The sequence below is a fragment of the Homo sapiens genome, chromosome 14 (genome assembly GCF_000001405.40).
Source record: "Homo sapiens chromosome 14, GRCh38.p14 Primary Assembly".
Taxonomy (NCBI): Eukaryota; Metazoa; Chordata; class Mammalia; order Primates; family Hominidae; genus Homo; species Homo sapiens.
The window spans coordinates 34,969,646-34,984,836 of NC_000014.9; the positions used below are offsets into that span (position 1 = coordinate 34,969,646).

Here is a 15,191-nt window from a genome sequence, read left to right on the forward strand (position 1 = left end):
GGGGAAAAAATTTAAACTAATACCAGGTCTTCTGAGTCCTACATGTCAGTGACTTACCATTAAAACATTTAACAAGTAATCTTTTCCCAGAGTGCAGTTTTCAAATAATAAAATGCTATTAAAACTTCATGCTTATAAATAGTAGTCATTTGTTAATATTAGTGGTATAGGATATACTAGCAAGTGGTTACAAAGAAACAAATACTTGATTCCTTTTACCTTAACTATAATAAACCATGAATACCTAAAAATGTGTCTACATTTAAACAAAGAAACCTTGGTTGGTACATAAAAATCAGGTATGGATATATAAGGATCAGAAGGAAATTTAAGATAAAAAGTTGGGCCAGGCGCAGTGGCTCATGCCTATAATCCCAGCACTTTGGGAGGCCCAGGCGGGTGGATCACGAGGTCAGGACATCGAGACCATCCTGGCTAACACGGTGAAACCCTGTCTCTACTAAAAATACAAAAAAAAAAAATTAGCCAGGCGTGGTGGCGGGCGCCTGTAGTCCCAGCCACTTGGGAGGCTGAGGTAGGAGAATGGTGTGAACTCGGGAGGCAGAGCTTGCAGTGAGCCAAGATTGTGCCACTGCACTCCAGCCTGGGCGACAAAGAGAGACTCCATCTCAAAAAAAATAAATAATAAATAAATAAATAAAAAAGACAAAAAGTTGAAGTTTGTGGGTCAATTATTAACATACAAGGATTACTTTTCTCATTGTATACATCGTGGATTTCACAAAACTGATTATATGCATAGCACTATTAAGAATGTGCAGATGGCTGGGCGCGGTGGCTCACGCCTGTAATCCCAGTACTTTGGGAGGCAGAGGTGAGTGGATCACTAGGCCAGGAGTTTTGAGACCAGCCTGACCAACATAGTGAAACCCCATCTCTACTAAAAATACAAAAATTAGCCAGGCATGGTGGTGGGCACCTGTAATCCCAGCTACATGGGAGGCTGAGGCAGAAGAATCACTTGAACCTGGGAGGCGGAGGTTGCGGTGAGCTGAGATCGCACCATTGCACTCCTGCATGGGCAACAAGAGCAAGACTCTGTCTCAAAAAAACAAAACAAAAACAAAAGAGAATTTAGCTCCTTTATGCAGTTATTTATAGTCTGAAAACCACATGGAGAATTGCTGTTTTCAGGTTAGTGGGTGGAAATTTTTTTTTAATAGAGATGGGGTCTTGCTATGCTGTCCAGGCTGGTCTTGAACTCCTAGGCTCAAATGATCCTCTCACCTCAGCCTCCCAAAGGGCTGAGAATATAGGTATGAGCCACCACACCTGGCCAAGAAGAGATTATTAGCCTTGCTTTACAAAACAATATTCATAACATAGGTTTCCCATAAGGGTTAGGATTTGAAGGAACTTGAAAGAGTTCTGGAGAAGAAAAATGAGACCTAATTCTTTTTTTTTCTTTTGAGACGGAGTCTCACTCTGTTACCCAGGCTGGAGTGCAGTGGCGTGATCTTGGCTCACTGAAAGCTCCGCCTCTGGGGTTCAAGCCATTCTCCTGCCTCAGCCTCCCGAGTAGCTGGGACTAAGGCACCTGCCACCATGCCCAACTAATTTTTTTTTGTTTTTTTGTAGAGACAGGGTTTCACTGTGTTAGCCAGGATGGTCTCAATCTCCTGACGTCGTGATCCACCCACCTCGGCCCCCTAAAGTGCTGGGATTACAGGCGTGAGCCACCGTGCCCGGCCAAAAATGAGAACTAATTCTAAAAATAAAGGAATAGAAGAATAAGTAAAAGTGTAAGGGGCAAATGTAGAAGAAAGAAACAAAAAGGTGAGCTTCATCATTAATACAAGTGAGGGAAATGGAACAGAGGAAAAAACAAGGACATGGATGTAGTTAGGATCACATCATTGGCTCTTGTTGGGCCTTGATTGTTTTTCCAGAGCCTGGCAAACAGGATACTCTCAAAAAATATTTGTTGAATGAATAGTACTGATGAGTCAAAGGGTTGAGGACTCAAAAGAATTGGGGACATGGCTGAAGCACTACATGAAAAACTGTTTAAAACCAAATTTAGGGCTGATTAGGCTAAAGAGACTGTGGGGTTAGGAAGAATAGGAGAAACTTTAAGAAGCACTCACAGTAAATTTAACATATTTACTTTTATTTGTCTCTTCATGAACTATCCTCAGTCAATGATGTCAGACATTCACTTCTCCTCTTGCTTTTTGATCTAAGTGTTGCATTATCAGAATGCACATCAGGTGCATTCTGGTGTGACACCATAAGCTGAGACTTTCCCATTGCTCATCAGTGAATGCTAACTGACCTGATCTCTTAATTTTCTTTCTGTATGCTCCCTGCAGTGTGGTCTCTGGAATCCCTCCTGGTGTCGGCCAGTCCTGGTGGTAGTTTTGCATAGTTGAGCTGGTTTCTGCAGTACGATATAATGCTGCAGAGGCAAGGTGCAGGAATGTTGTTGCTGTTATTTTTGAGGAAAAAGGATGACGTGCTGCCTTGGCATAAGGAAACCACTCGGGCCCGACTGCTCTGTCAAATGACTTCCACACCTCTCTGAACTTGAGTATCTCATCTATTACCCTAGGGATTAAGATTAAAGCAGAACCAAAATACTAAAGAAAATTGTTTTTTATGAACACCATCATCTTCTGGGGTTCTTTTGTGACTGATGAATCTGAGCTATGAATGGTTGCGCAGTTCCACTAACCTTAATGGAAAGTATCCTGATGAGAGACTAGTGGCACCATCTATACCCTGCCATTTTAGATACATAAGTAGCGATGTCAATTCAAGAGTAGCAGACATGCAGCCAGGTACAGTGGCTCATGCCTGTAATCCTAGGACTTTGGGAGGCCGAGGCGGGTGGATCACCCGAGATTAGGAGCTCGAGACCAGCCTGGCCAACATGGTGAAACTCCGTCTCTACTAAAAAAATACAAAAACTAGCCAGGTGTGGTGGCAGGCACCTGTAGTCCCAGCTACTTGGGAAGCTGAGGCAGGAGAATCGCTAGAACCCGGGAGGCAGAGGTTGCAGTGAGCCGAGATTTGTGCCACTGCACTCCAGCCTGGGCGACAAGAGCAAAACTCCATCTCAAAAAAAAGTTGTTATGCTCTATTTCTAAAAATAGTATATTATTATTTTTGAAATACTTTCAATTCTCTGCTGGATCAATGTACAAATGTACAATCTGTGGACATGGAGAACCCACTGCATATCCTAAGCATTTACGCTATGTCATTAAAATTAAAATTAGTGGAAACTTTACTTTTGAAGGCTGTGTAGTCTCTATTTAACCATTCACTGCTACCCTGAGACAGTTAAATATAGTTATAATTGTGTAAAACTGAGAATACTGCAACAAACATTTTGACAAACATCATCTCTTTGCATCTCTGATTATTTCCTTACTATAAATTCTTAGAAGTGCTTCAACATTGAAAAGGCTTTTCCTACACATTTGCACATTTCTTTCTTTCTTGAAGGACATCAGTTTAACAGAAATAAAAAAGAACACGAGTCTCTGGCTGGGCGTGGTGGCTCACGCCTGTAATCCCAGCACTTTGGGAGGCTGAGGCAGGCAGAGCACTTGAGGTCAGGAGTTCGAGACCAGTCTGGCCAACATGGTAAAATCCTGTCTCTACTAAATTACAAAAATTAGCTGGACATGGTGGTACATGCCTGTAATCTTAGTTACTTGGGAGGATGAGGCAGAAGAATTCCTTGAACCCGGGAGGTGGAGGTTGCAGCGAGCCGAGATGGCTCCACTGCACTCCAGCCTGGGCATGAGACTCCCTCTCAAAAAATAAAAAATAAAATAAAAAAAAAGAACACAAGTCTCATCAAACCCTCACAACACTGAATATTACCATAAAAACAAACTTGGGCAGGGTACGGTGGCTCACACCTGTAATCCCAGCACTTTGGGAGGCCAAGGCAGGCAGATCGCTTGAGTCCAGGGGTTTGAGACCAGCCTGGGCAACATGGTGAAACCCCATCTCTACAAAAAAAATTAAAAAGTAGCTGGGCATGGTGGTGTATGCCTATAGTCCCAGCTACCTGGGAGGCTGAGGTGGGAGGATCACCTGAGCCTGGGAGGTCAAGGCTGCAGCGAGCCGTGATCACACGATTGCACTCCAGCCTGGGCAACCAGAGTGAGATCCTACCTGAAAAAATAAAAAAACTAAAAAACCTGGTTAATTTGCATTTATTTAATTACTAGTGAGGTGGAACATCTCTTAACACATAAACAGCAAATGTGTGGTAATACTACGTTGCTTGGAAAAAGATTAAAGGAAGGTGCTAATCAGCTGCCTAAAGGAGAGTAGAGCTTTCCTCAAATTACATATGTAGAGGGGAAGGGAATGGAGAAAGAAGAGCTTCTCTAAAGGGCAAAATCAATTCTTTAAAATTTCCTACTTACATCTAATTAATTATATGAGGAAAGAAAAGTCCCCAAAGCTGACAGCCTATGAATCAAACCTCACTTTTTGTATCTAGTCAGGTATTCAGTCCCACCACTTTTTCTTTTGAAACCTATTTTCCCTTCATTCTCAATTCAACTATCTCATAGCCATAGTCATCATCTCACACTCTGAATACCATTACAAACTCATAACCAGTTCCTCAATATCAGCTTCTCCCCACTATAAAATACCTTGTTCACCTAAACGAATCTCGCTTAAACCTCACTTTTATATCACTCCCTCTCCTTACAAACTTTTAATGATCTTCTATTTTTCAGTGTATCAAATCTTGAGATTTTTAAGGCCCTCCATATCACAAGTCTACTCAGCCATTTTCTTAAAATTTTATTTTTAATTGACAAATAATAATTGTATATATTTATGGGGTAGAATGTATACATTGTAGAATGATCAAATCGGGCTAACATATTCATCACCACATATTTATTATTTCTTTGTTTTTCTTGGGAGGGAGTTTTGCTCTTGTTGCCCAGGCTGGAGTGCATTGGCGTGATCTCGGCTTGCCGCAACCTCCACCTTCCGGGTTCAAGCGATTCTTCTGTTTCAGCCTCCTGAGTAGCTGGGATTACAGGCATGCGCCACCACGTCTGGCTAATTTTGTATTTTTTTTTTAGTAGAGATGGGGTTTCTCCATGCTGGTCTCGAACTCCCGACCTCAGGTGATCTGTCTGCCTCAGCCTCCCAAAGTGCTGAGATTACAGGCATGAGCCACTGCACCTGGCCAAATTTATTATTTCTCTGCGTCGAGAACATTTAAAACCCACCCTCTTTTTTTTTTTTTTTTTTTTGAGGCAGAGTTTCGCTCTCATTGCCCAGGCTGGAGTGTAATGGCATCATCTCAGCTCACCACAACCTCCGCCTCTCAGGTTCAAGCAATTCTCCTGCCTCAGCCTCCTGAGTAGCTGGGATTACAGGCATGTGCCACCACGTCCGGCTAATTTTTTGTATTTTTAGTAGAGATGGGGTTTCTCCATGTTGGTCAGGCTGGTCTTGAACTGACCTCAGGTGATCCGCCCATCTCAGCCTCCCAAAGTGCTGGGATTAAAGGCTTGAGCCACCGCGCCTGGCCAAAACCCACTCTCTTAACAATTCTGAAATACGGTCACGTACTACATAATGACACTTCCATCAATGACAGACTGCACACACCATGGTGGTCCCATAAGATTACAATGTCATATTTTTACTGTACCTTTTCTATGTTTAGATACACATATACTAACCATAGTGTTACAACTGCCTACAGTTGCTACAGGAACATGCTGTACAGGTTTGTAGAAGGTGCAACAGGCTATACAATCTAGGTTTGAGTAAGTACTGTACATTCCATGATGCTCGCACAACAATGAAATGGCCTAACAGTGCATTTCTCAGAATCTGTCCCTGTTGTTACATGATGTATGATTGTATGTATGTTTTAGCAAATTTGGTGAATTACATTGATTTTCTAATGTTAAACCAACAGGACATTCCTGAGATAAACCCACTAGCCCATGATGTATTATTCTTTTCACATATCCTGGCCATTTTTAATAGACAACAAATGCGATTGAGAGAAAAGTACAATTATATTCATTTAGTAGAACCTATAAAAGCTCTGTAGCTACTGCTCAGCAACATGTTCAATTGAGGTGTTTACAACAAAGGATACAGAGAATCTCCTGTAAGTGTCTAGTCACCTCTTGTTATTTTAAGCATTTAAATATTTCTTGACTATCTGGTTAATTTCCTTCCTGCAAACCTTAATTTTCTACCCTCTGTACCTTGATCCTTAATAGAAACTGTATGAGCAGTTGGGCGCAGTGGCTCACACCTGCAATCCCAGTGCTTTGGGAGGCTGAGGTTGGTGAAATAATTGAGCTCAGGAGTATGAGATCACCCTGGGCAACATGGTGAAACCCTGTCACTACCAAAAAATGCAACAATTGGCCAAGTATGATGGCACGCACCTATAATCCCAGCTACTTGGGCTGAGGGAGGAGGCTCACTTGAACTTGGGAAGTTGAGGCTGCAGTGAGCCCTGTGTTCACACCACTGCACTCCAGCCTGGGTGACACAGCGAGACTGTCTAAAAGAAGAGGCCCAGCACGGTGGCTCATGCCTGTAATCCCAGCACTTTGGGAGGCCAAGGTGAGCGGATCATCTGAGGTCAGGAGCTGGAGATCAACCAACATGGTGAAACCCTGTCTCTACTAAAAATACAAAAATTAGCCAGGCATGGGCCAGACACGGTGGCCCACACCTGTAATCCCAGCACTTTGGGAGGCCGAGCGGGGCGGATCAGCAGGTCAGGAGATCAAGACCATCCTGGCTAACACGGTGAAACACCGTCTCTACTAAAAAAATACAAAAAAATTAGCCGGGTGTGGTGGCAGGCGCCTGTAGTCCCAGCTACTCAGGAGGCTGAGGCAGGAGAATGGTGTGAACCCAGGAGGTGGAGCTTGCAGTGAGCTGAGATCGCGCCACTGCACTCCAGCCTGGGTGACAGAGTAAGACTCCATCTCAAAAAAAAAAAAAAAAAAAAAAAAGAAAAGGAGAGACTTTGTATGAGTTATTGGTTTAATGTCCTCATTTATTTCTATTTTGCATATTCAGGAAATACTGAGAGCCTTCAGAGTAGAATTTGTTAATAGACTGCTGTTGCATTGTATCTTTTCTATTTGCCCTATTGGGGACCCCATTTGCAGATCTGGTTCTCAACTCCCCTCACTTAATGGATTGCAATCAGTCTCCTACACTTTGAAATCTAGGTCAAGAGCCCACTTCATACACATCAGGAAAATAGTAGGGAAAAGATACTCTGCCAGAGGATCAGAATCAATGAGTTCCAGTACTGCTGTATTTTAACTGCTTTTTATCTTTTTTTGGGGGGAGAGGAACTTGTTTTTGCCTGCATTGCCCCTCAGACTTGGTTTACCTGTCTGACACTAGTGCTCATTATTTCCTAGCCTAAGCTGTACAAAGAAACATCTAGGCTCCCACCTTTGTTTTATGTTTCTTTTTTCCTTTTTTTTTTTGAGATGGCGTCTCACTCTGTTGCCCAGGCTGGAGTGCAGTGGCGCAATCTTGGCTCACTGCAACCTCAGCCTCCTGGGTTCAAGCAATTCTCTTGCCTCAGCCTCCCGAGTAGCTGGGACTACAGGTGCACACCATCATGCCTGGCTAATTTTTTGTTTTTGTATTTTTAGTAGAGACAGGGTTTCACCATGTTGGCCAGGCTGGTCTCAAACTCCTGACCTCAGGTGATCTGCCTGCCTTGCCTCCCAAAGTGCCAGGATTACAGGCGTGAGCCACTGCACACAGCCATGTTGTCTAGTTTTAATAAACTCTTATGAAACTCAAAACCAAAGCCATACTCAACATCTAGCGTTGTCTTTTGTTATTCCATCAAATGGTATAAAAATTCAAGAAGAGTTATAATTTAAATTAAAAGTCTAGGCAAATGTCATGCAAGACATTATTTAAATGACTTAATGCCAGAGGTTTAAAAATTTATTTAAAAATTATAGGAGAGGCCAGGCACAGTGGCTCAGGCCTGTAATCCCAGCACTTTGGGAGGCCGAGATGGGCGTATCACCTGAGGTCAGGAATTCGAGACCAGCCTGGCCAACATGGTGAAACCCCACTTCTACTAAAAATATAAAAATCAGCCGGACTTGGTGGCATGTGCCAGTAATCCCAGCTACTCAGGAGGCTGCACTCCAGCCTGGGCAACAGAGCGAGACTCCGTCTCAAAAAAAAAAAAAAAAAAAAAACAAATTTCCCCAGGCAAAAGGAAATCTAATTAGGAAAATGAAAAATGGTTGTTTAGAAGAATATTTTGTGCTGTACTTAGACCACTTCATAAAAAGGTATACTAAGAGTTTCAGTTTGGGAAGACAAGAGTTCTGGAGATTAATAGTGATATTTACAAAACAACGTGAACATATTTAATGCCACTTAACTATACAGTAAAAAATGGTCAAAATGGTCTGGCCGTGGTGGCTCACGCCTGTAATCCCAGCACTTTGGGAGGCTGAGGTGGGCAGATCACGAGGTCAGGTGCTCGAGACCAGCTTGGCCAACATGGTGAAACCCCATCTCTACTAAAAATACAAAAATTAGCCAGGTGTGGTGCACGCCTGTAATCCCAGCTACTCAGAAGGTTGAGGCAGGAGAATCGCTTGAACCTGGGAGGCAGAGGTTGCAGTGAGCCGAGATTGTGCCATTGCACTCTAGCCTGGGCAAAGAGCAAGACTCTGTCTGAAGGAAAAAAAAAAAGGTCAAAATGGTAAATTTTATTTTATACATATTTTACCACAATAAAGAAGGTATACTAATACACTACTTTTTTTAAGGATTATAAATAACCATACTCCTTTATTTTAAGTTCAGTGATACTCTCACTTCTTAAAATTTTTTTTAATTTTTAATTTTTTTTTTTTTTTGAGACAGGTTCTCACTATGTTGCCCAGGCTGGTCTCACATTCCTGAGCTTAGGCAATTCACCTACCTCGGCCTCCCAAAGTGCTACGATTACAGGAGTGGGCCACATGCCCGGCCTCACTTCTTAAAATATTCGGGTTAATAAACATTCTTCAGAAACTCAAGTTATTTTTTAAATTGTTTAACAAATTGCTTGAGCTTCCTCACTACAGGATCTGCTGAAGAGAGGCACAAGAAGTACCTTTAGATCAGGTACGATGGCTCACACCTGTAATCCCAGCACTTTGGGAAGCCAAGGTGGGAGTATCTCTTGAGGCCAGGAGTTTGAGACCAGCCTGGGCAACATAGTGAGACACTGTCTCTACAGGAAATTTAAAAAAGCTGGGTGTGGTGGTTTGCACCATAGTCCAGCTACTCAGGTACTCAGGATGCTGAGGTAGGAGGACTGCTTGAGCCCAGGAGGTCAAAGCTGCAGTGGGCTATAACAGTGTCACGGCACACCAGCCTCCAGCCTGGGTGACAGAGTGAGACCCTTTCTTTAAAAACAACAAAAAGTACCTTTAAAAAAAGTAAAAATAGGGCCGAGCGCGGTGGCTCACGCTTGTAATCCCAGCACTTCGGAAGACCGAGGCGGGCAGATCACGAGGTCAGGAGATTGAGACCATCCTGGCTAACACGGTGAAACCCCGTCTCCACTAAAAATACAAAAAAATTAGCCAGGCGTGGTGGCACGTGCCTGTAGTTTCAGCTACTCAGGAGGCTGAGGCAGGAGAATCGCTTGAACCCAGGAAGCGGAGGTTGCGGTGAGCCAAGATCGTGCCATTGCACTCCAGCCTGGGCGACAGCAAGACTCTGACTCAAAAAAAAAAAAAAAAAGTAAAAATATATTCTTTAGCCAGTGATATTGGCTCTTGTTTACAAAATTATCCAAAACGTTCTTTCAAGTCTTCCTGATTTTGAAAAATAGAGTCTCAACTGATATCTCTAAAATTTGAGGCTGGGTACAGTGGCTCATGCCTGTAATTTGAACACTTTAGGAGGTTGAGGTGGGAGGATCCCTTGAGGCCAAGAGTGTGAGGCTGTAGTGAGCTATGATGGTGCCACTGCACTCCAGCCTGGGTGACAAAGACCCTATCTCAAAAACAAACAAAACACAGGAAAAAAAAAATCAAAATTTAGATTGCAAATGGCTCCACAAAACAAATCTTGAGGGCAAAGATGTTTTAGTAATTTTACAATTGCCAGCTCTAGGCAGTATGTGACATCTTTCTAGGCACTCAGTGCTTTTAGAATAAATGACCTTGTGCTGAGGAATGTGAAAAAAAAGATGTAAATCGGTGCTGTTTTATTGACAAATGGGATATGAAGAATGAAATGTGCGGCCGAGCACGGTGGCTCACGCCTGTAATCCCAGCACTTTGGAAGGCGGAGGCGGGCAGATCACGAGGTCAGCAGATCCAGACCATCCTGGCCAACACGGTGAAACCCCCTCTCTACTAAAAATACAAAAAATTAGCCGGGCGTGGTGGCGGGCGCCTGTAGTCCCAGCTACTCGGGAGGCTGAGGCAGGAGAATGGCGTGAACCCGGGAGGCGGAGCTTGCAGTGAGCCAAGATTGCGCCACTGCACTCCAGCCTGGGGGACAGAGCGAGACTCCGTCTCAAAAACAAAAACAAAAACAAAAAAGAAATGTGCAACATAGGGTTTAGATGAAGTGACAGGAGACTCAGCATATTATGGAAATTATTATCTTGATTTTGTGTATATAGAAATAAAGCTGTATCCGGCTGGGTGCGGTGGCTCATGCCAGTAATCCAGCACTTTGGGAGGACGAGGAGGGCAGATCACGAGGTCAGGAGTTCAAGACCAGCCTAGCCAACATAGTAAAACCCCGTCTCTACTAAAAATACCAAAATTAGCTGGACGCGGTGGTTCGTGCCTGTAATCCCAGCTACTCCAGGGGCAGGAGAATCACTTGAATCCAGAAGGCAGAGGTTGCAATGAGCTAAGATCGTGCTACTGCACTCCAGCCTGGCGACAGACTGAGAATCCGTCTCAATAAATAAATAAATAAACAAAGCTGTGTATCTGGTTTTCTATACTTTCCAGGTCAAATCTCACTAGCAGATGTTCCTGTTATCTTCAGTTTGACATCTTATCTAAAATGACTCCTAAAATGTGTAATAATGTTAATTATAATATCTAAACCTACTGACTCTAACATCACAAAGAATTTTAAGAGGTCGAGGTTAAAAATCTAAAATTGTAAGTCATCAGCTAACAATGACATTTCAAGTCATGAGCTTGGATAAAAATAACCATGGAAATCACCATTCAGCAAAATACAGGCATAGTGGCCAGGCGTGGTGGCTCACGCCTGCAATCCCAGCACTCTGGGAGGCCCAGGCAGGAAGATCACCTGAGGTCAGCAGTTTGGGACCAGCCTGGGAAACATGGTGAAACTCCGTCTCTACTACAAATACAAAAATGAGCCGGGCGTGGTGGCGGACGCCTGTAATCCCAGCCACTCAAAATCGCTCGAATCAGGGAGGTGGAGGTTGCAGTGAGCTGGATGGCGCCACTGCAGCCCCGCCTGGGCAACAAGAGTGAAACTCTGTCTCAAAAAATAAATACACACACATACACACACACACACACACACACACACACACACACACACACACTCTCGCATACAGGCATAGGATAGTTTGCTATAGTTAACAAACATAAGAATATCCTATTTTCTTGAGCTTTCATCAGGCTTTACTTTGCCAGAATACATCTATCCCATTTTTCAGTAACTAGATCTAGCTACCACATTTCCTCAGTTTTAACGTGTGTGTTTAAAGAGACAGGGTCTTGCGTCGCTCAGGCTGGAGTGAAGCAGCGGGATCAAAGCTCACTGCAGCCTTTTTCTGTCTATAAATCTTCAACACTTGGCTGCGCTGCAATCTCTCTGAGCCTGCCCGATTCGTGAATCATTCTTTGCTCAAAATGTTAAATTTAACTTGGCTAAGGTTTTTCGTTTAACACTTCCTACTAACGCTACAGCCTAAAACCTCTCCTGCAAAATGCTTTTTCAGGTGGCAACGTACCAATTCTAACAAGTTTGTGGGAGTAATGGGGAGGAGGGCTAACCCTCTATTTTCTTTCAGAAAAAGGGTTAGGCACAAGGAGCTCTAAAGGCTTGTCCGAAGTCTGCTGAAAACTCACAAACCACTCAGAACCAGGTTTCCCACACCCAATTAATTCCAAGTGGTACTGTATCCGATTACCCCCATTTTCCAAGAGATAGTTTATTTTTTCCCCTCTTTTCCCCTCCCCACTACACTTTCCACTTAGCCCTTTTTGAACTGCAAAATAACCTCTCAACTCCCCTCACCAGACCATTCTCTACAGAGCAAATTCATCTACGAGATCCAAGACGCAACTCCCACCGCCAGGCGGTCGCCTCAGAAGGGTAAGCAGAAAGCATGCCCACTTGGCCACTTTTACAACTTATTTCTGCTCAGAAATGCACCAACTCAACTACCCGGTAGATAAGGCACCAGCTAGCAGAGACCTCTTGCTCATTTCCTCTTGTACCTTATAAAATGCCCGCTTTTTTGCTCCAAAGACGAAGCGGGCTGGCTTCAGAAATAAAATCCCTCTTCTTGTATACTAGGGCTCGCTCTTGTTAATTGGTGTCTACGTGTGGCGAGCAACTAACTCTCTTTTCCGTTAGAGCACTCAAAGCCCTGGTCAATCTACCCCCCAAGACAGCAGAGACCAGCACAACGATCCCAAGGAAGGCTGTTGGCTTCACCCCGCTTAAGTCCTCAAAGTCAGCGCCTGCAGCATATCCTTGCCCCCACCACCTGCCTCTAGCTCTGGTCACTTACACTTACGGTTAGTTCGCATCCACTGTAACAGCGCCTGGCGGTCGGCAGGAGCCACAGTGCGAAGCGGCCGCAGCATCACTGCCTGCCTCGCAGTGGGAAATTTTACCTTGCTGGAGCAAGCCGCGCAGGCACTGGCTGGCATTGCGCATGCGCAAGCAGAGACCGCCCCACCCTCCGCGGAACAAGCCTCCGGTCTGCAAAGCCCTAAGCCCCGCCCCTCTACGGAGGTCTCACGTGCGCCTGGGGATCCCTGCCTTCAGTCACACCTCTATCTCTCATCTTTCCGCTCTTAGCTGGGAGTGCTCCGCCTAGTCACTTTTCTTAAGGTGGCTCGTCGAGGCCTGACTTCTTCCCCGAAATCACGTCCCTAGACAGCCTCCTATTTTACCACTAACTTTACTCCTGCAGTTATTCAGCGGTAGGAAACTGAAACCAAAAACCAGTGTAAGCAAGTAAACATCTAAACTGTTTCAGGAGCCGCGTAGAAGGAACGCGGCGGTGTGCCCCGGAAGCGGAAGTAGATTCTCCTATAGAAAGGCTGGACTACGCGGAGTGGTGACGTTTCCTCATTGGGCGGAAGGTTCGCTGGCACTCCGTTGGTCTTCCAGCTGGTGGGAGTTGACGACGTGGTGCTGGGCGTTGGGACCCTACTTTATCTAGTTCGGGAAGTTGGGTTGTGGGGTCATACCTGTCTGTCTGCTCCCAGCTTTCTTGGGTTTCTTCCGACGGCGTGGGGCCTCGCTAAGGAATTCCCGGCCCCTCAGGGCCACGGCTTTAGCGGTGTCTTTTGCGGTAAGTGTCTGCTTTTTCCCGCCCCAGACTACGGAGGGGGAGCGAGGGGCAGCCCCAGCGCTGCTCAGGAGGCGAGAGACTCCGGGGGAAGTCGGCCTCCGTGGCCACCGGCCATCGTTACCGAGACTGAGTTTCTGTGGCTCTTTATCTCGTCTTCCATGAGAAGTTTTATTAAAGATGCGCTGTGCCCCTTTTGAGTTGTCTTCCGATTTACCTGAGCCAAATAAGATGTAGGCAGTTGCAGGCCTGAGTCTTCGTTTTGCTTTCCTGAGCAAGAATTTAGATGAAGCTACTTCCCCGAAAATCCTTTTACTTGTACGAGACTTTTATTTTTCCTATGTGTTTGTAGTGCTTAACACAATGTCCTGCGTGTAGTAGACGTTCAATAAACGAATATGGAATATCAGTTGAATGCCAATGATGATTTAAGATAGACTGATAGCTCTCTCTGTACCATTTGACGCTGCTGACCATCCATTTCTTGAAACTTTCCCCTGCTGCCTTTCTTCATGCTATCCTCACCTGATTCTTTCACATGCTTAATTTAACAAAATATATACTTGTTCTTGGCTACAAGGATACAGAAATGAATAACACTAACTCTGCCATTGAGAAGCTAACGCACATAAATACACATTATATCAAGATGGGTAATGAGAAACACTAGTTGCATATAAAGAGCTGTAGAAAGCTGTGGGAGAGCTAAAGTGCTCCTTAGGTGCTTTGTGACCCTGAGCCAGTTTCTATTCCAATCTAGCCTCAATTTCCTCATCTACTTAATAGGCTTGTTTTGAGGAAGAAAGGAGATTAGGTAAGAGGTTTGGTTTGGTTTAGTGCCTAGAATACAGCAATCGTGGTGCCAAAGGGGAGGGAAATATTTCCCTCAAATCGCTTTTTCTCAGTTTTTTGATATGGCCAACTGGTATTTTCTACCTTAATATAGAGTACTATGCAAAAGCATCTTCAAGTCTTCCTTCCAGATTACTCCTCTGTCCCCATCTATTTGGAAATTCTGGACCTGCCACAGGATTACAGTAAGATAACCATAAATGTAGCTTTTTAAAAATTGATTTTCTCCTATGTGCCATGGAGAAAGGGAAAGGGAATTAGTAAAAGCTCCTATCTCTTTGGTTATTTTCAGTCTTGGTTAACGCCGTCCTTTTAGTTGGCCCTCAGTCATTGCTATAACCCAAATGGTCTTCCACAGGCTCTCCTCGAGGCTTCTCGCTTGCTTCCATGGCATTGTCCCTATATGCCAACCATGTCCAAACCTTATTCTTTTCATTTCCAAACCTTGTTCTTTTCCAAACCTTATTTGCTCTGTCGCCCAGACTGGAGTACCGAGGCACCATCTCGGCTCACTGCAACCTCCGCCTCCCAGGTTCAAGCAATTCTCCTGCCTCAGCCTTCCGAGTAGCTGGGATTACAGGTGCCTGCCACCACGCCCAGCTAATTTTTGTGTTTTTAGTAGAGATGGGGTTCCACCATGTTGGCCAGGTTGGTCTTGAACTCCTGACCTGAAGTGATCCGCCTGCTTCGGCCTCCCAAAGTGCTGGGATTACAGGTGTGAGCCACCATGCCCTGCCTAAACCTTATTCTTTAGCCTCCATCTCATGAGTTG

At 44.5% G+C, this 15,191-nt stretch overlaps 1 protein-coding gene and 1 long non-coding RNA gene across 4 annotated transcripts in view, besides 7 other annotated features; one reads left to right on the forward strand and one right to left on the reverse strand.

Moving 5' to 3' along the window:
- The window catches only part of SRP54-AS1 (SRP54 antisense RNA 1), a 66,087-nt gene extending 53,166 nt beyond the window's left edge, over window positions 1-12,921 (reverse strand). Inside the window, exon 1 of the long non-coding RNA NR_151701.1 lies at window positions 12,779-12,921. This is a non-coding gene — a long non-coding RNA (SRP54 antisense RNA 1). The remainder of the gene's footprint in view (window positions 1-12,778) is intronic.
- Window positions 11,318-11,612: a silencer, noted in NCBI's record as "tiled region #9881; K562 Repressive DNase unmatched - State 2:TssF". NCBI's record gives its function as "represses a minimal TATA promoter and a strong SV40 promoter by Sharpr-MPRA in K562 cells {active_cell/tissue: K562}" and the evidence as "EXISTENCE:reporter gene assay evidence [ECO:0000049][PMID:27701403]".
- Window positions 12,498-12,547: an enhancer, noted in NCBI's record as "active region_8256". NCBI's record gives its function as "activates an Ori minimal core promoter by ATAC-STARR-seq in GM12878 lymphoblastoid cells {active_cell/tissue: GM12878}" and the evidence as "EXISTENCE:reporter gene assay evidence [ECO:0000049][PMID:35858748]".
- Window positions 12,666-13,367: an enhancer, noted in NCBI's record as "H3K27ac hESC enhancer chr14:35451517-35452218 (GRCh37/hg19 assembly coordinates)". NCBI's record gives its function as "activates a minimal SCP1, AML or CMV promoter by ChIP-STARR-seq in naive H9 embryonic stem cells {active_cell/tissue: H9 hESC(naive)}" and the evidence as "EXISTENCE:reporter gene assay evidence [ECO:0000049][PMID:30033119]".
- Window positions 12,666-13,527: a biological region, named in NCBI's record as "H3K27ac hESC enhancer GRCh37_chr14:35451517-35452218".
- Window positions 12,758-12,847: an enhancer, noted in NCBI's record as "active region_8257". NCBI's record gives its function as "activates an Ori minimal core promoter by ATAC-STARR-seq in GM12878 lymphoblastoid cells {active_cell/tissue: GM12878}" and the evidence as "EXISTENCE:reporter gene assay evidence [ECO:0000049][PMID:35858748]".
- Window positions 13,028-13,527: an enhancer, noted in NCBI's record as "active region_8258". NCBI's record gives its function as "activates an Ori minimal core promoter by ATAC-STARR-seq in GM12878 lymphoblastoid cells {active_cell/tissue: GM12878}" and the evidence as "EXISTENCE:reporter gene assay evidence [ECO:0000049][PMID:35858748]".
- Window positions 13,347-15,191, forward strand: part of SRP54 (signal recognition particle 54) — a 46,576-nt gene continuing 44,731 nt past the window's right edge. For all 3 annotated transcript variants that reach the window (NM_003136.4, NM_001411017.1, NM_001146282.2), the window contains exon 1: window positions 13,347-13,570. The gene's annotated coding sequence lies outside the window, so the exon portion shown is untranslated. The remainder of the gene's footprint in view (window positions 13,571-15,191) is intronic.
- Window positions 13,558-13,817: an enhancer, noted in NCBI's record as "active region_8259". NCBI's record gives its function as "activates an Ori minimal core promoter by ATAC-STARR-seq in GM12878 lymphoblastoid cells {active_cell/tissue: GM12878}" and the evidence as "EXISTENCE:reporter gene assay evidence [ECO:0000049][PMID:35858748]".